The sequence below is a fragment of the Homo sapiens genome, chromosome 15, assembly GCF_000001405.40.
Source record: "Homo sapiens chromosome 15, GRCh38.p14 Primary Assembly".
NCBI lineage: Eukaryota > Metazoa > Chordata > Mammalia > Primates > Hominidae > Homo > Homo sapiens.
The window spans coordinates 53,834,555-53,862,382 of record NC_000015.10 but is presented as its reverse complement, the minus strand read 5'-3'; the positions used below and the strand labels follow the sequence as shown (position 1 = coordinate 53,862,382).

At 35.7% G+C, this 27,828-nt stretch overlaps 1 protein-coding gene across 4 annotated transcripts in view, besides 1 other annotated feature; it reads right to left on the bottom strand.

Moving 5' to 3' along the window:
* The window catches only part of UNC13C (unc-13 homolog C), a 795,839-nt gene extending 771,058 nt beyond the window's left edge, over positions 1 to 24,781 (bottom strand). For all 4 annotated transcript variants that reach the window (XM_047432538.1, XM_017022220.2, XM_017022221.2 and 1 more), the window contains exon 1: positions 24,724 to 24,781. The gene's annotated coding sequence lies outside the window, so the exon portion shown is untranslated. The remainder of the gene's footprint in view (positions 1 to 24,723) is intronic.
* Positions 26,082 to 27,281: an enhancer, noted in NCBI's record as "P300/CBP strongly-dependent group 1 enhancer chr15:54127299-54128498 (GRCh37/hg19 assembly coordinates)". NCBI's record gives its function as "activates an origin of replication core promoter dependent on BRD2, BRD4, P300/CBP, MED14 and CDK7 cofactors, with strong dependence on P300/CBP, by STARR-seq in HCT116 cells {active_cell/tissue: HCT116}" and the evidence as "EXISTENCE:reporter gene assay evidence [ECO:0000049][PMID:35650434]".

Genomic DNA, 27,828 nt, shown 5'->3' with positions numbered 1-27,828 from the left:
CACTCCCACATGTAGGCATTGAGCTTAAAATATACACGAGCACTAGAAAAAAACTTGTAATTTTGAGTCTGTCTGGTGATTTACTCTGACTTTCTCCCTGTAACCAGTTGCAGAAATAAACACCCTTGTTCCAAGTCTGTCTGCATCTGGTTATTGGACCACGAGAACAAGCAGCTGGACCTCATTCTGTGCAGGAAAATGAGCACATAGCAAGAAGGTGGCTGTCTACAAGCCAGGAATAGAGCCCTTTCCAGAATTCGATCATGCTGCCACTCTGATCTTGGACTTCTAGCCTCCAAAACTGTGAAAAATAAATTTCTGTTGTTTAAGCTACCCAGTCTATGGTATTTTGTTATAGCAGCCCAAGCAGACTAATACATCTGGTGTCATTTCACAGCCGAGATTTAATGCCTCCTGATGATACACTGGCTAGTAGCAACATACCAGGCAAGGACTGAGTTGGAGGGACAAGATAGTGGAGCTGGTGGGAATTATGGGGAGTTAGTGTGGGTGAACTTCAACTAATACAAAACAAGAGACAAGAGAAAGGTAGGCAGTTGCATTTCTCCCTTTTACCTATCTTCCATGGACTACTCTGAGGTTATGATTCCTCTTTACAATTCTTCTGGAGAGGTAATGAAGGCCAAGCTAACATGCCCACTGAGCAATGTGCTGGATCTGCTTCCAACTCATTGTGTTTCATGTCTTTCTTTACCTCACTTTTCTTTTTTCTTTTATCTTAACACACATGTGTTTGCACCTCTATAGGCAGCAATACTTTAATTGTTGCCCCAGGCTCTGTTTTCTAGACGACCCATGCTAAGAAATGAGTTTTTGACAAGCACCATATACTGCTTCTCAGCCTTTTGACTAAGAACAAGTGTGATAAAGATGATATATTTTTATTATGATAGAAAGAAATCCAATGAACTTATAAAAAAACAAAAATAACAACACGCAAAAAATATGGAGTTGAGTCATTTTATGTTTCAGATGGCTATTTAATACCATTATCTTTTAGAAAGCAAGTGATAAAGTTTCCAATTATATCCTTGTATAAACACAAAGACTGAATAATAAAACATACTTGATTCGATTCTTACCTTTTAGATAACTATACCCAAGTAATACAAATTAATTACAAAGTATAAACTTAGCAGGAGGTCTCACATATAGAGTCCTTGAACATATTCATTTTAATGCTTGTCATTGACATAAATTTATTTTAAATGCTAAACCAAATGTGCAAATAATATGAAATAAAGAGAAATATATGATATTTTGAATAAAATTAAGATTCAGAATGATGTCATTCTATAATGTAAAGTATCTCTAGCTTTCAGAGAATATTTAAATACATTGACAAGGTGAATTTTATCAAATATAAGTCTAAAGCCCCATATTTTGGTTCAGAAAATCAAATGTACATCAACTGGGTAGAAAGAACCTATTTCAGCAGCAAAGATTAAATCTAGGAACTTCAGTTGATCACAACATTTATGTGAATCTCCTCTTCAAGAAGATGCATCAATAATAGCACATTGTCCAGATGACCTGAAATAATAGTCTACCATGCTCAATTTTATAAGACTTTTTCAGGAATATTGATTGCAGCTCTGGAAGACAATGTAAGACTGTTAAAATTATCGACATATTCAGAAAAAAAGTCTAAAAGATTAAGGATCTGAAAAGCATGTTATACGAAGAGTGAATGGTTTGAAAGGATTAGGAATGTTTAACTTGGAGAGGCAAAGACTCCTGGGAGATTTCACAGCTATCTTCAAATAGGGCTATTTCAGGTCATTCTAAGAGAGATTCAGATTTCAGGTCATTCTAAGAGGGAAATTTCCAATGATGATGGCCAAGAATGGAATGAGAAACCCTATGGGGCAATTACCTCCCCATGACTGAAGCATCTAAATAGGGGTTGCATGACCAATTAATTCATTTATCATGATTCTGAATTGTGGCTAGGATGATGGACCAATGACTTCTACTGGTCCCTTCGATTGTGAGTTACCTCCCTGAGGATCCTCAAAATATCCTTCTTTAATTTTGAAATTTTTAACATTTTAGGTCATAAAAGCAACCTGTAAAATATTGCTTGAAAATGATATCATGTGAGTTATCACATGATATCATGATTATCATCTGAATCTAACCTCAATAAATTATTAAAGTAAAAAATCCACACACATATTGAAAGCTTAAGACAAAGAGATAACTATATAATACAATTGAACAACGTGCATTCTTACTTTAAATGTCATTGTCAACAAGGGGTCATCAATATCTAGAAAGAGAAGATGGTCTGTGCTGCTATAATTAGCAGAACTCAAATGTGATAGAGAATTCAGATAGACAAAAACATATCCGGATTTCTTATCAAAACTGGGGGAATCACAGCTAGTGTGGGAATTCCAAGGAGCAAGAGGACAGTGCAGATATTTCTCACCCTAAAGAACCAGAGAAAGACAAAACCGTAGGAGAACACATAGTCCAAAACCGTTAGAGAAAACAGATCCCCCAAGCCTGGAGTGAAATCAGAAGGATTCAGCAATGGAAATAATACAAATAGGTATCAGAAATGAGACGTGGAGCCAAGAATCTGGCCAGGGAGATAAAAGCAGGATCTGGGAAACAGCCTAGAACTGTCTTCCCTGGGTATCCATTTAGATGAAGTTTTCTGAATACGGGGTTGGAAGTTCATAGCATTAAAAATGAAAACTAAATATGAGTGTGTGTGTGTGTATGCCTGTACTTATTTTATAAATCATTCTTATCAAAGACTCCTTCAGTATAAGATTACAACCTTCCTTTTATCTTTTTCTTTTTTTGGTGTTTAATACCCTCTGTTTTATAAAATAATGATAAAGAATTTTGCAAAAACAATGCAAAGAATTTGTTTTGTTTAATGTTTTCAGTGGGAATAAGAAATATCGACAAACCTGGGCTATCCCTTCCATTAGTTTTTCTTGTAATTTCAGTAGTCTGTGAAATTTTAAAATCTGGAAATGGTTGGCCCAGAACATGCATTCATATTTGTAATTTTTGTGAGGTAGTCAGGATGATATATTTGGACCAAAGAAAAAAGTTTGAAAAGAATCAATTCATCTAGCAATAATTATACAAATTATTTCTATCACAAAACATTATTTTATTAACGATGAGACATTAAAAATTTTTAAATTAACATTAAAATATTACAAAGACTTCATAGGGTTCTTTTTTGTTTCATTTAGTTATTTTGGTAATGCTTTGGTGAATGCTAGTTAACTAGCTTTCTTCTTCTATGAGTTGTACATGCCCATTTACAAAACTCAAATAAGAAAAAAATAAAAGATAATTATTTTCAATATTTAGATTTATCAGACTTCAAATATTAATTACCATTACCCATAAATATATCTAAACACAATAATTTTTAATATTTTAATATCAAGTAAAATATATCTATGGCATAAAATGATAGTTTGAATCATGTGACTATGACCAAGTTATGCTGGGTAATTATTCCAACTACTGTATGAATATTTTGAGTATTAAAATGACTCCTTAATATTAACCATATGCATATTTATACTTATAAAATTTAAGAAGCAGTGTGTTAGCCATTAGGCCACAGATAAACATGTTTTTGTTTCTGAGCCTATTTCATTATCTGGGCCAGGTGTGGTGGCTCATGCCTGTAATCCCAGCACTTTGGGATGCTGAGGCGGGTGGATCATGAGGTCAGGAGTTCGAGACCAGCCTGACCAACACGGTGAAACCCCGTCTCTATGAAAAACACAAAAATTAGCTGCATGCGGTGAGGCATGCCTGTAATCCCAGCTAGTCAGAAGGCTGGGGAAGGAGAATAACTTGAACCCGGTAGGTGGAGGTTGCAATGAGCCAAGATCATGCCACTGCACTCCAACCTGGGCGACAGAGCGAGACACCATCTCAAAAAAAAAACAAACAAAAACAAAACAAAAAAAAACTCATTATGAGGAGAAAATGAGATAATGAATACACAACTGTAAGTTGTTTTTAATAAAAATTATATATCATGTCAAAATACTAAAGTGAAACCAAACATAATTTAACTTAATACTATTCCTAAGCAAACATTTAAAATGCATATCAAAATCTCAGTGTTTTATATTGTCTTCAATTTTCAATATGTAAATGTTATAGAGTTCCAATTGATGGAATGCTAGATAATATGTTGCCTACCTTATCTAGCCACCAAAATTATAGATGTACATATCAAAAATGAAGAAATTAAACATGACATATGACATTCATATAGAGGTTAAAATTATCATTTCAGCAAGAGCTAAATTAAAAGCCCTAAAACAATGTTTGTCATTTTCTTTTAATAACATGTTCCAAATTAAGAAAGCAGCATGTTAAGCATAAATCTTAATATATGAACTACCTTAGGGAATGAAATAAATTCTGGGTGACTAAGTTGTTTTAAAAATAACTCTGCATTCATTATTGTTAAATAATACTGAAGAAAATCTTAACATCAGCTCACCATTGTACTTTCAGTTTGATAAATGAAGTGTCACCAAAAATGTTAATCAGATAACATTTATATAATTTCACTTTTAAGATAATTTTCCTCCTAATCATCTGCCAACATTTGAGAGAGAAATGGAATCTTTTCTCTGCATAATTTTCTCCCAGCAGACTGCCATTGCCAGCAGCAGTTGGTTAATAATAGATGCTCAGCATCTTAGAATATTACTGGTATAGACAGCACAGAGCCTAAGGTTAACACAGAGGTCACTTAGGGTCATTCTGCTCAATAGATCTGCAATAATAATTTGCTAAAGCTCTGTTCCTTATAGTTTGACAAATGTAATGTCTTTCTTAAGACTTCTAAAAATTCTCAGGAGTTTTCCCAAATCTGATTCTGAGCTTCTGGTCCCAATATTATCTTAGTTTAGGATAGCCTTGCCATCTCATACATGCTATTTGTGTTCTGCCTTGTGCCAGTCCAGATGTACAAACTAACTCTCTTCTTTAATTTCTATAAAATTCACTCATTTATTTTGGTGTCTAACAAACTCTACTAAAAATTTGGGTTATGAAAAGTAATTATATTGTTAAAAGAGAAACTTTAGCTGAATTAAATTTAAGAGTTTAATTGAGCAAAGATCCACGAATCAGACAGCCTCCTGAGCCAGAGTAGGCTCAGAGACTCCAGTGTGACCACATGGTGGAAAAAGATTCATGGGCACAAAAAGGAAAGTGATATACAGAAAATGGAAGTTAGGTACAGAAATAGCCAGATTGGGGCCGGGCACGGTGGTTCACGCCTCTAATCCCAGCACTTTGGGAAGCTGAGGTGGGCAGATCACGAGGTGAGGGTGAAGGGTTCAATTAAACAGGAAGAACTAACTATTCTAAATATATATGCACCCAATACAGGAGCACCCAGATTTATAAAGCAAGTTTTTAGAGACTTACAAAGAGATTTAGACTACCATACAAAAATAATGGGAGACTTCAACACCTCACTGTCATTATTAGACAGATCACTGAGACAGAAAATTGCCAAAGATATTCAGGACCTGAACTCAGCTCTGGATCAAGTGGACCTGATAGGTATCTACAGAACTCTCCACCCAAAAACAGAATATACATTCTTATCACCTCACGGCACTTACTCTAAAATTGATCAGATAAATGAAAACACTCCTCAGCAAATGCAAAAGAACTGAAATCATAACAGTATCTCAGACCACAGTGCAATCTAACTAGAACTCAAGATTAAGAAATTTATTCAAAACCACAAAACTACATGAAAATTGAAAAACCTGTTCCTGAATGACTCTTGGGTAAATAATGAAATTAAGGCAGAAATCAAGAAATTCTATGAAACTAATGAGAACAAAAGATGACATTCTAGAATCTCTGGGGTACAGCTAAAGCAATGTTATAGCACTAAATGCCCACATCAAAAAGCTAGAAAGATCTCAAGTTAACAATATAACATCTCAACAACAACAAAAAAAAACTAGAGAACCAAGAGCACACAAACCCCAAAACTAACAGAAGACAAGAAAAATAAATAAATAAATAAAACAAGATTATAACTGAACTGAAGGAGATAGAGATACAAAAAAATTCAAAAGATCAACAAATCCAGGAGCTGTTTTTTATAATGATAATAATAAAATAGACCACTGGCTAGACTAACAAAGAAGAAAAAAGAGAAGAATAAAATAAACACGTTCAAAAATGATAAAGTGTATATCACCACTGACCCCACAGAAATACAAGCAATCATCAGAGAACACTATAACATCTCTATGCACACAAACTAGAAAATCTAGAAAAAATGGATAAATTCCTGGACACATACACACTCCCAATACTGAACCAAGAAGAAATTGCATTCCTGAATGGACCAATAACAAGTTCTGAAATTGAGGCAGTAACAAATAGCCTACCAATAAAAAAAGCCCAGGGTCATATGGACTCAGGTCTGAATTCTACCAGAGGTACAAAGAAGAGTTGGTACCGTGTCTACTCAAACTGTTCCAAAAGATTGAAAAGGAGGGACTCCTCTCTAACTCATTCTATGAGGCCAGGATCATCCTGATACAAAAACCTAGCAGAGATACAACAAAAAAAGAAAACTTCAGGCCAATATCTTTCACCAACATCGATGGTGAATTATCCTCAATAATATACTGGCAAATCGAATCCAGCAGCACATCAAAAAGCTTATGCACCACGATCATTCATTCCTAGGGTGCAAGCTTGGTTTAACATAGGCAGATCAATAACTGTAATTCATCACATAAACAGAACTAAAGACAAAAAACCATATGATAATCTCAATAGATGCAGAAGAGGGCTTTGATAAAACTCAACATCCTTTCATTTTAAAAACTCTTAACTAACTAGGTATTGATGGAACATACCTAAAAATAATGAGAGCCATTTATGACAAAACCACAGTCAATATCATAGCGAATGGGCAAAAACTGGAAGCATTCCCCTTAAAAACTGGCACAAGACAAGGATGCCGTCTCTAACCACTCCTACTCAACATAGTATTAGAAGCTCTGGCCAGGGCAATCAGGCAAGAGAAAGAAATAAAGCATATTCAAATAGGAAGAGAGGAAGTCAAATTGTCTCTGCTTACAGATGACATGATTCTGTATCTAGAAAACCCCATTGTCTCAGCCCAAAAGCTACTTAAGCTGACGAGTAACTTCAGAAAGCCTCAGAATACAAAATAATTGTGCAAAAATCACAAGCATTCCTATACACCAACAATAGTCAATCAGAGAGCCAAATCATGAATGAACTCCCATTCACAATTGCTACAAAGAGAAAAAAACACCTAGGAATACAGCTAATAAGGGATGTGAAGGAACTCTTCAAGGAGAACTACAAACCACTGCTCAGGGAAATCAGAGAGGATACACACTAATGGAAAAATATTCCATGTTCATGGATAGCAAGAATCAATATCATTAAAATGGCCATACTACCCAAAGTAATTTATAGATTCAATGCCATCTCCATTAAACTACCATTAACATTTTTCACAGAATTAGAAAAATCTACTTTAAACTTCATATGGAACAAAAAAAGAGCCCAAATAGCCAAGACAATCCTAAGCAAAAAGAACAAAGCTGGAGGCATCACGCTACCTGACTTCGAACTATATCACAAGGCTACAGTAACCAAAACAGCATGGTACTGGTACAAAAACAGACACATAAACCAATGGAACAGAATAGAGAACTCAGAAATAAGACCACACACCTACAACTATCTGACCTTTGACAAACCGGACAAAAACAATTAATGGGGAAAGGATTCTCTATTTAATATATGGTGTTGGGAGAACTGCTTAGCCATATGCAGAAAATTAAAACTGGACCCCTTCCTTACACCATATATAAAAATTAACTCAAGATGGATTAAAGACTTTAATATAAAACCCAAAACTTGGCCAGGCATGGTGGCTCACACCTGTAATCCCAGCACTTTGGGAGGCTAAGGCAGGTGGATCACGAGGTTAAGAGCTCGAGACAAGCCTGACCAACATGGTGAAACCCTGTCTCTACTAACAATGCAAAAATTAGCCAGGCATGGTGGTGTGTGCCTGTAATCCCAGCTACTCAGGAGACTGAGGCAAGAGAATCACTTGAATCCGGGAGGCAGAAGTTGCAGTGAGCCAAGATTGCGCCACTGCACTCCAGCCTGGGTGGCAGAGTGAAACTCCATCTCAAAAAAAAAAAAAAAACCTATAAAAACCCTGGGAGAAAATCTAGGCAATACAATTCAGGAAATAGGCGCAGGCAAAGATTTCATGATGAAAATGCTAAAAGCAATTGCAACAAAAGCAAAAATTGACAAATGGGATCTCATTAAACTAAAGAGCTTCTGCACAGCAAAAGAAACTATAATCTGAGTGAACAGACAATTTACAGAATGGGAGAACATTTTTGCAATCTATCCATCTGACAAAGGTCTAATATCCAGAGTCTACAAGGAATTTAAACAAATTTACAAGAAAAAAACAAACAACCCCATTAAAAAGTGGGCAAAGGAAATGAACAGACACTTCTCAAAATAAGAGATTCATGTGGGCAACAAATGTATGAAAAAAGGCTCATCATCACTGACAATTAGAGAAATATAAATCAAACCACAATGAGATACCATCTCCTGCCAGACAGAATGGCTATTATTAAAAAGTCAGAAAACAACAGATACTGGCGAAGTTGTAGAGAAAAAGGAATGCTTTTGCAACCTTGGTGGGAGTATAAATTAGTTCAACCATTGTGGAAGACAGACCAGAGTTTTCTCAAAGACCTAGAGGCCGAAATACCATTTAACCCATTAATAAGCATATACCCAAAGGAATATAAATCATTCACTTATAAAGACACATGCATACGTATGTTCATTGCCCCACTATTCACAATAGCAAGGACATGGAATCAACCCAAATGACCATCAATGATAGACTGGATAAAGAAAATGTGGTGCATATACATCATGGAATACTGTGCAACCATAAAAATAAACAAGATCATGTCTTTTGATCTGCATGGGTGGTGCAAACTAATGCAGGAACAGAAAAGCAAACACTGCATGTTCTCATTTATAAGGGAGAGCTGAATGATGAGAACACATAGACACATGGTGGGGAAGAACACACACTGAGGCCTATTGCAGTTGGGGGTGAGGGGAGAGAGAGCATCAGGAAGAATAGTTAATGGATGCTGGGCTTAATACCTAGATGATGGGTTGATCTCTGCAGCAAACCACCATGGCACAAGTTTACCTATGTAACAAACCTGCACATCCTACACATGTACCATTGTACTTAAAATAAAAGTTGAAGTAAAAAAAAAAAAAGATATTTCCTTAAGTGGGTGGGGGAGGAGGCAGAGTGCGTGCACACACATAAAAGATTACCCCTTATTATTAATTCTGTAGCAATTTTCTTAGATAAATAACACATTTTTCTTTCTTTCACCATTAGCTACCCAAATAAACAGGTAACTAGATTTCCACTTCCAATCATGAAGGAGTATTAGAATCCAGAATTAATCTCCTGCCATAATTAGAAAACTAAAAAATAGATAGAAAATAAACACTATTTTCATATGTTGGACTATATAGGTAGTGCAGGGCTATGACGGCAGAGACAGAATGGACACGATATGGTAAACTTTGTAATTGTTCACATTTTCTACCTTGAGGCAATTACCAGACAGCAGCATGGGGCAAGGGGTGAGAGTGATCTGGAAGAGCCTAGTCAAAGAGCTCAGATTTCAGAGAGGCAGAAGTGGCTAAAATTTCCACAGATATAGAATATGCAGAGAAAACATTATAGAAATTTATGTTGGGGTGACTTTAAGTCTGTGGCTGAATATCCATCTGTACATACGTAGGGAGAAACCCCATGATGTCAAGCTAGGGAAAACTTCTAGGAAAGGAGTAATTGTAGAAAACCGTAGTTGAAAAATTCTAGAGCTCACATAAGGCCTGGAATCATTCAAGCTTCCAGTAGCTAGAGTAAAAGCCCTGTTCGAAAAAATGTCAAACACACTCAAAAGTGTTTTTACCTATTCTCTTACTCAACAATCCAATCAGCACAGAAGACACTGTGACCAAATGTGTGGGGGTTTACCCCACACACCAAGCGTCAGACCCCAACTGGGTTTCCTCTAATTCAATTAAAATCTGACAATATCTTCCTGGGAAAAATGTCAGATCCCACAGGGTGAAAGCTGAATCCTGCAAGACTGTCCCTACCTCCAGATACCAGTCACAACTCTGGCCTCCAGAACTTCTGACTGACCAGCTTCAAGATGGGGTTCCCACAGCTCCCTCTTTGGATCCCATTAATTTGCTACAGTGGCTCACAGAACTCAGGGAAGCACATTCACCAGCTTATTATAAGGTATTATTACAAAGGACAAAAGGACACAGATGAAGAGATGCATGGGATGAGGTACAGGGGAAGGTGTACAGAGCTTCCTTGTCCTCCCCAGACGCACCACCTTCCAGCAACCTCCACATGTTCAGCTGTCCTGAAGCTCTCAAACTCTGTCTTCTTGGGCTTCTATGGAGACTTCGTTGGACAGGCGTGATTGAACGATGGACAACCACGTCACAATGCGATTGGACAAAAAGGGCATGATCTAAAGCCTGCAAGGGCTTGCTGTTCAGACTCTTCTTGGTCTCTCTGTGCAGCATTCCTTCCTCCAGGGTACAGGGCACGGCCCCTCTGGAATGAGGGTTTATGACCCACAATCAGGTTAGAGTCCTGCCTTGGGCAGGTGAAAGGTGGACAGGAGGAGATGAGACACAGAGAGAGAAAGAGAGAGAGAGAGAGATTCTGTTTACTGTAACAGGGGCTATGAGAGTTATGAGCCAGAAACCATGGTTGAACATCCCAGTGAACAAAAAGAGTATTCATTAAAAACTGCATAAGGGGCTAGGCATTAAAACTGGGGCTAAAGTAAAGGTAGCTCCTGTTACTTTTAACCTGAAGGGGCTTTAAATCAAGCCTCAAAACGATCAAACTGATAATGAGTTAACCTCACTGTCTCCCAGAACAAAGTCCAGTACTCTGCAGGAAAACAACAAAATCTAAACATTCAGAAATGGAAAATTTAAAATAACTGGATAAAGAGGTGGGAAAAATGTCACCAATAACCAGAAAAAAGGCAATTAAAACACACTTAAGCATGACATAGATGATCAAAGTTATAAATAACAAGGGATATTAAAACAGTTTACTTAAATATGATATATATGCTCAAGGATATAAGAAAAAATTTAAATAATAAGAGAAATAGAAGATACGAAAGAGAACATACTAGAACTCCAAGAAATATAAAAATAAAATTTCTGAAATAAAAACATCACAGAATAAAATTAAAAGCAGATTAGACACTGCATAAGTAAAGATCAGTAAACTGGAAGGCATAGTAATAGCACTTTCCAAAATGAAATGTAGAAAAGGAAAAAAAAAAAGGTTGGAAAAAATGACCAGAGCCTCAATGACATGTGGGAAAATATCAAAGATTTAATGCATGCCTAACGAAGTCCTTATAAGAGAGAAGAGAGAACAGGAAAGAAGAAAAAAAAGAAAATCATAGACAATATTTATCCAAATTTGATGGAAATGGTAAACCCACACATCAAATATGCTGAATAAAACCTAAGTAGAATTAACATAAAGAAAATCACACATGGCTAATTGTAATCAAATTGCCAAAATCCAGTGATAAAGAAGAAAAATTTTAAGGGAGCCAGAAATAAAAGACATTGTTTCAGTGCAACAAGGAATGATTGCAGATTCGTATCAGAAATATACATTTTGAAAGACAATCAAATGACAACCTTTTAAAGAACTTAAGTGGGAGTAGGGGTTGTTATACACCCCTAAATATTTTTAATTAATGAAAATTTAATTAAAAAAATAGTTTTAGAGACAGCGTCTTGCTCTGTTACCTAGGCTGGAATGCAGTGCCACAATCATGGTTCACTGCAGTCTCAACCACCGGGGTTCAAGTGATCCTCCTGCCTCAGTCTCCCAAGTAACTGGGACCATAGGTGCATGCCACCATGCCTGCCTAAATTTTTTTATTTTTTGTGGAGATGGGGTCTCGATATGTTGCCCAGGCTGGTCTTGAACTTGACCTCAATTGATCCTCCTGCCTCATCCTCCCAAAGTGTCAGGATTAGAGGTGTGAGCCACCATGCCCAGCGCCCCCTAGAATTCTATATCCAGCAAAAAGTCTTTCAAAAATGAAGGCAAACAGGAACTAAGGCAAACCTGCAGCACAAGAAATGTTAAAGGAAGTTCTTGCAAAAGGAAAATGACACTAAAAAGAAACTTGTATCTACAGACAAGACAAAGAAGGCTGTAAGTGGTAACGCTGCGGGAAAATATTAAAATATATGCTTTATTCATTGTTTAATTTTTTTAAACACATGGCCCACCTTCTTCATTGTCTCACATATGTATGTGTAGCATATTGCTTATTCTTCTTGGCCTTTTACAGTGGCCTGCATCACGCCCAGAGCCCTTAGTTGCCAATGTCTTAGGAGCCCCTGTAATGTCATCTCCTGGAAGCACAAGGGTTGCCCTTCCATGATAATTGATGGTTGCTGCCAGAATACATTTTGTGGAAAAGAATGGGAATCTTGTGACTCATCATCTAATGGCTTACTTGTCTTCATTAAAAATGAAAACATGCAATAAGAAGAAATATTTTTGGTCTGAAAATGCTTTTTTGGAAAAAAAAGAAAAAATATATAAGTGCTCAAAGGAAAAACAGTAGCAATAGTAATGTATTCTGGAGTTTATAACCTATGAAAATTTAAAATTAACGGCAATATTGTTCTAAAAAGTAGAATGGACTTAAAGTATAATGTTATAAGGTTTATATTTGATAAGGAAGTTTTATAATATTATTTGAAGGTAGACCATAAAATTATGTTTTATATTGTAGACCTTACAGTAATTACTAATAGAGACATATAAATAATACATTGATAGTGGACATAAAATGTAATTATAAAAATTGCTTGCTCCAAAGGAAGGAAAAAATAAAGGAAGATGGCACAAAACAAATGCTGAAGATAAAAAATAAGCAACAACATGGTAGGTTTAATTCTACCTCATAGATAATCACAATAATTTTAAATGTTCAAAATGCATCAAAAGGCAGAAAATATCATATTAGATGAAAAGACAAGATTCAACTACATGCTATCTACAAGAAATTCACTTTAAATATAAAAATACATATATAAATTCACTTTAAATATAAATCTACATAGATTATAAGCAGCTATCTACAAGAAATTCACTTTAAATATAAAAATGTAGATTAAGAGTAATGGGAAAAGTTATATAATGCAAACATTAATAGAAGGAACCTGGTGTTGTTCTTAATATGAGACAAGAGAGTCTTAATAACAAGAAATACTGCAATGAATAGAGAGAGAAGCTGGTAATGTTAGTGAGGTCAATTCATCAAGAAGATATAAAAATACAATAAAAAAGCATGATCTAGTAACGTAATTTCAAAACACATGAAGTAAAAGATGTAAACACAGAAGTAGTTAAAAACCATAATTATGTTGAAACCAAAATTACATTTTGAGATGTCAGTACTTCATATTCTAAACAGGTTGATAGAACAAGAAGGCAGAGAAATCAATAGAAACACACAAGACCTAAAAAACGCCAAGAATCAACTTGGCCTAATTGACACAGAGAACACCCTGTCCAACATCTGACAAATATAGTTTCTTTTCAAATGCACATGGAATATTCACCAGTAGACACCATGTGCTTATCCACAAAATAAGTCTCAATATATTTAAAAGGAACAAAATAATTCAAAGTATGTTCTCTGACAATATGCAATTAAATTGAGCAATAAAACAGAATACTATCTATGAAAAGGTCCAAAATACATATTTGAAATTAAATAACACACATCTCAATAGGAAATCACAAGTCAAATTAGAAAATATTTTAAATGAATGAAAATGAAAACATGACATAATTTGTGAGGGCGAAGCTATAGACGAAAGCAATAATCTAATCTTCTACTAAAAGACCCTATAAAAATAAGAGCAAATTAAACTCAAATAGAAAGAAAAATATAAAACCAATAACAGCAGAAACCAGTGAAACAAAAGTAAATAGATAAAATCAATAAAAAACTGGTTCTTTAAAAAGAGTAATTAAATTATAAACCACTAGTTAGACTGATCAATAAGAGAGAGAGAGAATACAAATAAATCACCGATGTCCGAAATGAAATAGAGAACATCACTAGACATCCTACAGACATTATAAGGGTGATAAGGAAATATGAACAATTTTATGACTACTAAAATAACTTAGATGAAATGTCATGTGCCCATCCTCAATAAATTATGTCAAGGTCATGAAGTATTTTGATTGGCTTAAGTATCTTTGCATGTTTACCTCTGTCACCAGAGGTTCAAATTCATCCAAAACACACAATCAATGAGAGAGAGGTCCTGAGTAGGCAAAGAAAATATATGCTTATCTTATCACAATGGTGCATGTTTAACCTTACTATTTCATCTTTGGTATTTGTTCCACTGGGTCATCCCTGTATTGAAGCTGATTTTCCTATATCTAAAGGCCATATCCTCTCAATCTAGGGAGGATATAAAAAATTAGCTAATGAGGCTGGGCACAGTGGCTCACACCTCTAATCTCAGCACTTTGGGAGGCCGAGGTGGGCAGATCACCTGAGGTCAGGAGTTCGAGACCAGCCTGGCCAACATGGTGAAACCTCATCTCTACTAAAAATACAAAAAAAAAAAAAAATAGCCAGGCATGGTGGTGGACACCTGTAATCCCAGCTGCTTGGGAGGCTGAGGCAGGAGAATCACTTGAACCTAGGAGGCAGAGGTTGCAGTGAGGGGAGACCACATCGTTGCACTCCAGCCTAGGCAACAAGAACTAAACTCCATCTCAGAAAAAAAAAAAAAATAGCTAATGAAATGCCTTACCTAGTTCATACTCTATAACCTTTCTCTTTTTGTTAGCCTGAATTATTTAACATCTTCCATGTTCTTGATATACAAATTGGTAAGTAGTGAAAGTTAAAAACCTGCAAGTTCAGCTCTACTCCAAGATCTAGGCTAAATCTTTAACTTTGTTTGTAGAAAGTTAATAAGTTATTATGTTTTAGCACAAAGTCCCTATAACTGTTTGTTTTTATGTAGGGTCTAGTTTCCCCTTCCTTGAGCATTTGTTGTTTTTTGTTGTTGTTGTTGTTCTTGACATCATGGTCCAATCCTGCACTCAAGTACCTGTAGACCAGAACAATGGCTCTAGTGAGGTCTCTCTAGGACAACTATTCTCAGCGCTGACCTCTGCAGTTGGGCCCTACACTGTGAGACTTGACTCCTCCAAAGCCAGATTATGGACTCACAGTCACGGAGCTTTGCTCTCCTGCTGAGGTGTTCTGAGACATCTCTGTCTCACTCTCAGTCTGATTATACATCACCACAGGATAACTAAAGCTTCTACCTAAAGGATCTTGGAATTATTAAATGGCTTACCTTCCTGAAAATATTATTTCTGAAAATAAGTTGGATTAGGATATAAGGCATATGAAGTATCTCTTCTATATAGTACAATCTGGACAATTTTTTTAAAAATTTGTCATTCATTAAAACTACCTAAAAATGTCTTAAAGCAAACAGATATTACCATATTAATACATAAATATGCTCAGCTTTGGCTGTATGAGTAGCCTACAAAAATTTATTTAATTCCCATCTAACTCTGTAAAGTAAATACTAAAATTTTCTTCTTATAAATGTGGAAAATAAGTAACTTGCACAAATCCACAAATGTGGAAAATAAGTAACTTGCACAAATTCAAACCCAAGTTTGTGGCATCACTAGTCTCATGGACTCATTGGTTATCATAAAAACGATGTAAAGTGCATGCAGACAAATTTTTTAAAAATCCACCATAAAAATTGAACTTGATTTACCAAATGAAGATTATTACCAATCGCATAGATTCATTAGTTATGTGTTGTAAACCTCATCACACTACACAATGCCATGTGAATGCAAAGATCTGATCAAATCATGTCAGTAGAGTTGCTCCTTAACTTACAATGGGGTTATGCCTCAATAAATCCATCGTAAATTGAAAATATGTATTTAATGCACCGAACCTACTGAACATCATAGCTTAGCCCAGTCTACCTTAAATGGGCTGAGAACACTTATATTAGCCTACAATTGGGCAAAATCATCTAATACAAAGCCTATTTTGTAATAAAGTGTTAACTATCTCATGTAATTTATTGAATACTGTACTGAAAGTGAAAAACACAATGGTTTTATTGGTACTTGGAGTATGTTTTCTACTGAGTGTGTAAGGCTTTTGTAGCATTGTAAAGTAAAAAAAAAGAGAAGTAAGTCAAACCATCCTAAGCGGGGAACTGTTTATGCTAGGATTTTGCCCCAAAAATGAAAAATGATGCTGCCTGCAAGTGTCAATTGGGTCTGCCACAGTTCAAACATGTCTCATTATTAATACCTAAAATTTCCCTGGATTCATAGCATTATAGGAAATAAAAAGATTCATTCATAAAACAGTACCACTTCATGGACTGAATCACATACAATTTACTGACAGTTAAATTAAGCTTAAACATAACACATACAACACATAATTAATAAGTAGTTATAATTATATTGAACTTTGCATCCCTAGACCCGTGCTTAGCATAGAGTAAGCATTCAATAAATTTCATGAATGATCAAAACACTGAATGCATAAGGAAATAATATGCTGTGGTATTAAAACCAACTTCATATCATAGGACATTGTGTTGAAGGCTGTAGGCAAAGTAGGAGGGCTGTGTTGTCTTCCAGCTCTGCTTCACAGTCTCTTCTGATTCTAGTTGTGAGGCTGTATTCTTTTTGATCTACTTCTCTATTTCAGTTTTCTATACTGTTCCATGCTGAACATTCTGTTATAATTTTTTTTTTTTTTTTTGAGAGACTCTCGCTCTGTCACCCAGGCTGGAGTGCAATGGTGTGGTGTCAGCTCACTGCAACCTCAGCCTCCCAGGTTCAAGTGATTCTCCTGCCTCAGCCTCCTGAGTAGCTGGAACTACAGGTGCATGCCACCACACCCGGGCTAATTTTTATATTTTTAGTAGAGACGAGGTTTCACTGTATTGGCCAGGCTAGTCTCGAACTCCTGACCTCGTGATCCACCCACCTTGGCCTCCCAAAGTGCTGGGATTTCAGACGTGAGCCACTGTGCCCCGCCTTCAATTTTTAATATAATCAGTTTAGAGAGCTTTCTCTGAGATTGCTTAAACTTAGCTCATACGTTCAGGCTCACTGCTTTAACACCTGGATATAAACCTGTATCATCCATTTCAGTATGAACTTGAGAAAGTCAAAGACAACATGGTGACAAACACTCTCTCCTTGTCCAACCTCTAGCATGGCTTCTCACAGCTCAAGGTAGTGCCTCTAGGATGATGTCACTAGTCCCCTTAACATGCCTGCTTGAAAAAGCTTAATGCTGGCCAAAGAATTTACTGTTCGTTCCAGCAGAAATCTGACTATAGGTCCCTGATCTCTTTTTTCTTAGGAACCCTTCCTTCTACTTGAGAAAACTTGCAATTGTAAAACATTTGTCCCTTTGAGATGCATCTTCTGCAACCCAAAAATGTCATTCTCAAGAACCTGAAAGTCAGCCCTTTGAAATGTCATCGTCAAGAATGCTAAAGCTCTGTCTTCCAGGCTATATGAGAGTGCAGGAGCCTAACTTCGATAAACACCAGTTAACAAATACACAGATGACCTTATCACATTGACCCACCTTCCCTGCCTCAGTGTCCTTCAGTACTTTTCCTTTGTCACACCCCAGCAAACAAACAATCCCACATTTTGTTTCAACAAAACTGAGCTCAGTCAATACCAAAGTATTTCTCTCTCATTGCAGTAGTCTGAATAAAATCTGCTTTGCTGCCTTTAATGGACATTGGACTCTGTTTCTCTTTAACAGTGACCAAATTTCCTTATCTCATAGATAACCTTGCCTTCTACTTCACCAAGAATATTAAAATTCTCAGTGGTGATCTTCCTTAGCTCTCTGATTTGCAACAAACATGCTTATCTACAGTGACACACACTTTTTCCTTCTTTTCTCTGATTTCAGAGGTTGTGTCTCTCCTGCTCCAGGAAACACATTTACGTATGCTCTGGGATTCACTTCTTTTCCCTTCAGCTGGGACCTTCCATTATCAGTTCCCCTTTTTATATGTCACATCTCCTTTAAACTGGCTGCTCCTCAGCCAATCAGCATGCTCAGGCTCTTCTGTTCTGAAAAGATTTTAAACTCCGTCTGATTTCTTTTCTCCTCTTATTCCATGAATCTTCAATGAGTTATCTCTACTTTTCAATGCCCACTTTTTAATATTCACTTAATTCTCACTCCACTGAAATAGAGCCTCTCAACAAATCTCATGGACTTCCTCTCACTAGTGACTTCCTAAATCCTGACTTCAAGGGAAACTTTTTAGTATCTAACTTATCAGGCTTCTGTGCTGACCTGGGATGTGCTGGCCATTAACATGTTTCTTACATGTTTCTTTTACTCCTTTGACTTTGTTCTGCACACATGGCCTTCATTTTCAGTCTTCTTCATGGGCTCTTTTTTCTCCACATATACAACATAGTATCCTCTTCAGACCTCTAGCCTTGGTCCTTTTCTCACCCACTGGTCCCTCCTTGAACAGCATTACTAATCTCATGATTAATTGCTTATAAAAAAATAAGTAAAACACACAAACCAAAAAAAAAGAGCCACCCTAAAGAGTGATATATGTATATATATATTTGAGATAAGATTTCACTCTGCTGCCCAGGTTGGAGTGCAGTGGCACGCTCACAGCTCACTGCAACTTCTGCCTCCTGGGCTCAAGCAGTCCTCCCACAAGCAATCCTCCCACCTCAGTCTCCTGAGTCACTAGGACTACAAGCATGAGCCACCATGCCTGGATAATTTTTGCAGTTTTTTTTCTTGGTAGAGACAGGGTTTTGCCATGTTGCCCAGGCTGGTTTCAAACTCACTGGACTCAAGCAATCTGCCTGTCTCGGCCTCCCAAAATGTTGGGATCACAGGCCTAAGCCACTGCACAAGTGAATTATATTTACCAAATAGGTGACCCAATTCATTGTTCAGAAATAGAAATATTAATATGGGAAAAGAAATATTCGAATGAGAAACATCTAAAGGGCAAGTGACTTCAAAGTCAGAGATGGCTGGCTTTTGACCATTCTAGTTGTGAGTAAAATTCTAGTTATTTAGCAAAATTTCTCTGTTCTTTATTTTAATTTTTAAATTGCAAAGAACTTTTTATTATCTATTTTAATTTTTACATTATATATATATATATATAAAACTTAAAATTATATATAAATAAGCACAAGAATGATCCTGGTGTTCAAAATTTCTTCAGTTTCAAGTAATAGAAACCAAATTCAAATTGGCTTAAGCAATAAATCAGCTACTATAGTTTGAGGAAAGTTAAGGAGCAGATGTCAGTCACTTCTGGGTGCAAGTTGTCAAACTATACAATTTCTATCTCTCTCTCAGCTCAGCTTCTCTGTGTGTCAACTTCATTTTCAGGTTTAATATCTCCAACCATAACAAAGATGCCTATCAATTTAGAGTTATATCCTACCACCTAAGCAACATACCTGAAAGACAATGTAACTTTCTCCATGTATTCAACGAAAGTCTCAAGAAGGGTTCAGTGGCCCGGCTTGAATTAATCCAAGTCCATCCTGACCATTTATTGTGCCCAGAAGAATGCAGAACTCTAATCAGCCAATTCTGAGTCACAAACTCAGCCAATGATCTTAGGACATTGTCAGCCCTATCTGAACATCATGAATTGAGAATAGTAGAGATAATTTCCCCAAAGGTAAATCAGAATGCTAGTGGCCAGAAAATGTATCTACAATGATACTTTATATCTGTAAAGTTTCCTTTTATCTTTTCAACAACATAAATTATTTATACTTTATGAATGAGCAAAGTAAAAGTCAGAGGAATTAAATTCAGTCACATAGTAAAAGACAGTATTGGATTTTCATTTCCCCCTCTTAAGACTAATACTCTTTTCACTATGTGAGGCTTCCCATTCTCCTGCTCAGTGCTAGTAAGAGATTCTGCACTTTTAGTGTCAAAGAAAAGCACTTTACTGAAAGCTTCAATTTATGCAAATACAAGTCAGAGTTCAATGTTCTTACTCATGTTCAGAATATTTAAAAAGACATCAACATCTTAATGGATAACTCTCCACCCTTACACTTGCTTTAACATATAAAGATCTTCCCCAAAGTGACCCAGAAATTCTTCCTATCCAGCTAAAGCAAGAGTCTACAGTTAAGAAGTAGTAACCTTCTGTGCAAAATTTGATGTCATAACATCACCATGGCAACAGTAACTGAAGACAGAAGAGGCAAATTTTGTCCTGAAAATTAATCAGCTGCAGTGACAATCTTATTTACTTTCTCTGGCAAGTAGTGCAAATCCACATGAGACCCCTGACGATCTTCCAGTCCTCATTTTCAGTTAAAAAATAAAAATACAACTACAGATCTATGTTAAAACATTTTTTTCCTAACAAGAATCATAAACTTTCTATTCCTCAGCTACCTTGTGGGGAGCTCTTGTCACATATGCCATAATTTCTTCAAAATTTCATGCAGTAGGTAGCAATTTTTTCATATACTTATTCTCAACAAAAATATCTTATTTTTTTACTAACTTCTTTAATGTCTATTAGTTGCCGGCAGATTTGTGCTTAATAAAGATTATGTCTTGAGAAAGAAGATATTCAGTAAAAGTGCAGAATAAGATCATCCACACGATATATATTTTAGAGAAGGAAAAAAATGTGTATTTTTTTAGCCTTGCTTTTGGTTGAAGCTTTCAAGATATAATTGGAAGGAATGGGAGTTTATTTCACTGGGAGATGGCAAAGGTAGGGGGGAAAGCAGAGACTCTGGAGTCAAATAAACTGGTATTAAATCCTAGCTCCACCAATTGGTAGTTGTAAAATGGTCAAGTCTCTTGATATGTTTTAATCTCAGTTTTTTTTAATATAAAATAGGGATCTGTAATTCCCCAATTTTCTAAGGTTCTTGGAAACATTAGAGATAATGTATATGAATTGCGTGGCACACAGTAGGTGGTCAAAAAGGCAAATGAAAGCAAACCATTTCTGTTTGTGAGACCATCCACGCATTGGTTTCACCAACACCAGAGCTCCTAGACTTGGACTTCTCACTCACTGCTGATAGCTTTGAGCCAGAATAACCCTCTGAATTTGGCACTTGCAGTTACTACACTGGAATTCCAATACTTTAGGATGATGTACCCATGCTATGCCTCATACTTCTCATACATTCCATGATTACTCCTATGTGAGCAGAGCAGTATGAGGCCATGGCGTACATGCTATGCCTCATACTTATACTTGCTCTGGTCACATATGAGTAATCATGGAATCCTGCTTATTTACATCTGTTTCTCTTTGTCCTTCCATCCCAAACTTGAAGGCTCACATTGATACTTCCTCAGTGCCTTTATTCATAGTCAAAATGGGACACATGATGCTAATAGAAGAGGCATGCAAGTGTTATTAGAACCTGTATGTACATCAAGGCAAAAGGAGATAGTGTTAACCATTTGCTGCTTACTATGGTCTTGAACCCTGTCCTCAGGCTTCACCTCAGGTGCTTAATACTTTGCCTCATGACTGCTCAAGTCTTACAGTCCTCTGTTCTAGGTCTTTCTCCTTGTTTTTTTATTTCATGCCCCTTCCTATTATGACTCTAGTTTTGCTTGGCTAGAAAGAGATCTCAGTCTTAATGGCTTTCTAGAGAATATTGACAAACTCCATTGCAAGCGCTCAGTAAATTACTGAGTTTAGCACATTAATCTCTATTTAACAGAGCTAAAGTCCTAATAAAAGGTAATTATTAGACATTTAGAATAAGAAGAAAATTTCTCAGGCATATAGTGCAGTCTTCAAGACATTTTCTCATAGCTAAAATACTGAACATGGATTCTTCTTCCTATTAGTATTCTTTTGTTGTAGGAAACAATTCTCTATGCTTAATAATAAATAATATTATCAGTTGCTAATTCTATATGGTGTTGAAGGAATTGGAATCTTAGCAGAGACACCTAACTGTAAAGTTGGAGAAGCTGCTCTTTCATCCTGTTCATCTTGCTATAAGTAAAGAATCGCTGGAAATATTAGCAGTTTTTAGAAACCTAGAGATATGAGTCTTAATTGGGGGATGGGAAGAATGGTAAAAAACAGGATAGAATAAAATACTTGCCAGCAATAACGTGCAAAATGAGAGACTGGTGATAAGAGTTCAGTCTTCCATAAATCTTTAACAAAGATATTAATATGAGACATTATTAAATTACACATCCGTATCAAAATTTAATTGGCAACCTTCAAAAAACCAAAATAGTATATATAACTTCCAAACAGAGCAACAATGATCAATCCAATGAAGGCAAGATAGGAGGGGAGAAAGCAGAAGGGGGAAAAAAAATGGAAAGCACCATATAAGATGTTAGAAATAAGCCCAAATACCCACAGTAAGCATAATAAATGTAGGTGAACTAAAATAACAGGTTAAAAAACAGAGACTGTCACAGTACATAAACAAAATTCATATACTGTTTATAGAAGTCAACGTTAAAATATAAAGGTATTGAAAGGTTGAAAAGAAAATGATGAAAATTAGTAAAGCTACATTTTATTTAAAAAATTATCTTTAAGACCAAAAGCATTCTTGTAAAGAGTGACACTAAATAGTATAATGAAACAATTCTAAAACTATCTTAAATGCATTATAAAATTAAATAATAAATAATGTTATCAATTGCTAATTCTATATAGGGTTGAAGGAATTGGAATCTTAGCAGAGACACGTAACTGTGAAGTTGGAGAAGTTGCCCTTTCATCCTGTTCATCTTGTTATAAGTAAAGAATCACTGGAAATGTTAGCAGTTTTTAGAAACCTACAGATATGAGTCCTAATTGGGGGATGGGAAGAACAGTAAAAAATAGTAAACATGTTGCTGGGAGACAGATTTCTCACAGCAGAAGAAACACACACACACCTGCCCATATATACATGCATATACACATTTTACACGTTTTAGAAATCATGTAAAAAAAGGAGAAACACATATATACGATATTTGGAATCAGAAAAGCTCATAGCTAAAGATAAAGTAACATTTAGAAAGTAATATAATATTTTGAATAACTACACCAGTAAATTTGAAAACTTGGACAAATTTTCAATTTCCTATGAAAGTATTTATCAAATATTACTTAATAACAAATTAAATGTCTGAATATACCTTAACCAGAAGTTGAATAAATAAATTTTAACCAACTCTCTCTCCTCCATAAAATTCTAAGACTTTAGGACTTACTGGTAATTTATGCTAAACGTTTACATGTTTTAACAAGCTCTTCCAGAGAACAGAAAATGAGAAAATCTTCACTAAATTGTTTTATAAGGATAAAAAAATTAGAGAACAAAAAATTATAGGTCAATTTCTCTTATAAAATAGTGCATATATCCTAAATAAAATGTTGTCAATCCAAATTAAAAGATATATAAATATAGTTCATTATAATCAAGTTGAATGTATATTAGAGATGTTAAAAATCAATTAGTATAATTTTCCACTTTAAGTTTGAAGAAGAAAACGATTTAGCTGTCTCAACAGATGAGTTAAAGCATTCAATAAAATTAAACATCTATTCATAGGAAAAGTTAAATCTAGAAGGGAGCACATTTAACCTGATAAAAACATATCCATAAAAATCTATGGTAAGCACCATAAATATTGATGGAAAAAACATTTTAAAAATCTATATGCTACAAGTATGCTAGCAAATGTTCTGGTTCAAGTAAGCCTTCTAAAAAATATAAAGGAATGAATGAATGAGTGAGTGGCATGAAAGATTTGTGATATTTTATGGAGAAAATTATAAAGTTTGTATAAAGTATTAAGGGAGACATAAATGATGGATAAACACATCGTATTTATAGACAAACATTAAAGATATTGATCCTTCCCAAATTGACTCATAAATTTATGTAATTCCAATTAAAATCCCAACAAGATATTTTCATGGAAAAATTATAAACTAATTTAAAAGTTTTATAGAACTTTTTTAGCAAAAATTATATTTTTATAGCAAAATTTTTTAATTCAAAAAATTGATGATTAAGCAAGGGAGTATTATTCAACAAAATAGTAAGATTAAGCTAAATAAGTTTAAAGAGTTAATGAAGTTTTGATTTAAAATAATGCATTGATTTTTTAAAAACTCAGACCAATAAGATACTATACAGTGCTTAGAAACTGATCAACACATATAAACATAAATGTGATCTTTAACAGTGGTGGCATTTCAAACCAGTAGGGAAAAGATGGACTATTCAATAAATGATCCTTTGGGGAAATGCCATGTAAAAAGTGAAATGGGATTCCTATCTCATACTACACACAAGAAATCAATTCCAGTGAAATTTTCAGATACAAAAGCAAAGCATTAAAATTTTCAGAAGAGACTGTCATTTACCTCTACTACTGCCTCCTAATGCTGGCTGTGTGCTAGTTGGTGCTGCCTGGTACCTCTTGGGTAAAAAAGCAGCTAAAACTACTTCAGCACTCACCTTGGCCAATGAAAAGCTTATGCACTGAATCGAGATTGAGAACAAGGACCAAGTTAATTTGAAGTGGCAGGGCAGGTGCTGTAGAGCAGTTTAAGATTAAGAGGTTTATACCACTTAGTAAACTTAGGAAAACATGTTGTGAACCACAGGGCTTTTCAATAAGGCAGAACAGCTCCTGATTTGGCGGGCAGCCAATCAGTAAACCAAACACACCTGCAGAGTTGGAGCTAGAGACTCATGATGCCGCTGATGTGTCCCAGCAGCAGACAGGGGTGTCTCATAAACAAACAACAAATGACTGCTTTTTGCTTAAACTGTATTCCCTTGAAGTGATGCATTCATAATTAGAAAACTGATTTGACTCAACAAATTCTGACTGCTGTGGTAGATCTTCTTCTGTCTTCAATTCTCCCCCTTCTCGATTCATTTCAATTGTCAATTGTCCATAAAATAATTGATGTATGCACACAGGTATGTTGCATTTTATTTTCCAAACAGACAATGATATTATAAGGCAAAATTACAACAAATTTAGTTTAAAGATCTCACTGACTTTTATTTGTGATTCTATAACATAGAGTGAGTATTCTGATGAGTTGAGAAGACAAATTTGGCTTTATAAGCAGAAAATGGCTGAAGAAAGCAGAAATACAGAACACAAGGCGGGTTGGTTATTGGAAAGTTACCATCCTCATAGGGTTAAAACTGAGGGAACTTCCTTACTATGCTGAGTCAGGCAGACTGGAATCTCCTGTGTTTTGGAAAACTGGCCCATTTCAAAATTGTTTGATTACCGTCCCTTAGTCTAAGTGACTCCATTCTGGTTTGATCCGGTCTGCTAAGAGCAAGTGCAAGAGGCTAGTTCACAGCAACGGCCTCCACTAAACTTTGTTTAACAACATGCAAAGCTGGGTATTAAAGCAGTTACTCTGGCCCTTAGAAATTCTGATATGAACTTCAATCTCTCAAAATTTTGTCATTAGTTCCTCATAAATAATATATCCTTTTCAAATTATCCTAATTGGAACATAACATCTGTTTTCTTGCACTCTGATTTATACACCTATTTTTCCCCAACCATGGCACTGAATCAGAATGTTTGGTGGCAAAATATGTGTGACAGTGTACTAGTTAGTGTAACCTGTTCTGACTGAGGTCTGCAATTCTGAATCCTCAAAGAGATCAGAATTAGGTAGCTGGCAGTCCCACAGCCCAGCCAATATGTGTCCCTAAGTGTGCTTCTAGGAATAGGATGAGAGGTAATTAAGTGAGATATTGGGAACCACCAGTTTACACACAAGAATCTGTTCACATAAAACTTACTTGTAGTTCATAGATTACAAAATGGAAGCAGGCATATTAGGCACTTATTTACTCCAGTAATAGCCAGATTTCTTTTTTGCATAAACTTTTTATGCAAAAAACTTTCTAATCTGTTAGTATATGAAGAATTTTGATAATAATGAGGGAATACATTCATGGAATAGTTACAAAATCTTACAGTTAATATATATTTTAAAGTAAAAATATTAAAACTAACAAAAGACGTATTTTTAAAAACAAGATGCTATATTTCTCTGGTGTAAAGGCCTGTTTACCTTCACACAGTGAAGCTGATATTAACTCTGTGGTTGCAAGAGGAGCAAGGGTACCATACCACGTAGGTTTTCATCCCTAGGAGGCTTGTGAAGTTCAAGACAAGATCTAAGCATGCTGATCACAGCTGGGAGGATTTGTTTTGTTCTGTGTTGTTTTTCTGTAAGATATTAGCAGTACTGAATTTTGTATTTTGCAAAGCCCTATGCTTTTCCCCAATCTGTATGTATATTTGTTTCTTATAATAAAAAATCTAAACTATTGACAAACATAAGATATTTCACAACTCAGCTCCAACTACTTCCCCAGGTCATCTCCTATTTATTCATCTAACAGCCTTTCCCCAGTCTCTCTCTGTTCCTGGCACACCCATATCGTGACACTTTCCATTGCAGGTGATATTGTTCATACCTTCCTACTTACGTACCTGATGTCTCCTGTATCTGGAATGCCCTCTTCCCTTTTCAGACATATTTCAAAACATTTCTTATCTTCCCCACAAGATGATTCACTGAACTCTTTCAAGGAGCTGCCCCTTGATGTTTTCATTCCACTCCTTGCTTTATATTTCTGGCATATTCAGGGAAGAGAAGTCCTTTCCTTCCTCTCTCCATCTTCCTAGGCAGGTGTTGTCTGCCCTGCCCTGAAATATTATATTAACTTTTAAGTCAGCTGGCTTTGGGCATTGTGAGAACCACTGTGTACCAGGTACCCTGTTAAGTGCTGGCAATACAAAGATTGCCAAGGTGGCAAGGTAAAGAAGGTGGGAAGCACTAGACACTTGGGCAAAGAAGCCTCCTACAGTTGTTCATCCCGGAGGCAAGTGCAAAAAGCTATGTGAGCATAGATGCCATAAACAAGAAAGATGATCAAAGGCGATGCACCAGGCAGGAAAGAGTTAAAAATATTTCTTTCTGGTTCCATTCTGGAGCATTTTATTGCAAAATCACATTCATATAGTTTCTGCTCATCTGAGAGAGAAGATAAAAAAGATCTTAGAGCAAGTAGTATGTTTCCTGCTGAATATCAATCTCCCACAGCCCTCTCTTGACCAGCTTTTATGAGAACACAAAAGCCCATCTGTGACTATGGCCAATCCCCTATTAAAAGGTCTCATGAGAACAGGTATCTCTCTTTCTCAGCACTTGGCATAGCCACAATTTTGAATTTTGTTAAACATAATTACATGATGATTTTCTATAATACTAGACTGTAAAAGCCACGAGACCAGGACTGGACTTATTTTTCCCATCTTTTTATCTTCAGCACTGAGCACAATGCCTGTCACATTAAAATGCTCAATAAATACAACTCAAAAAGAGAACCAATAAATGATAATACAACTATTAGCTAAGTAGCTACATAAACTGAGATACACTACCTCATGTAATCTTCATAATAACTCTATTTTAATC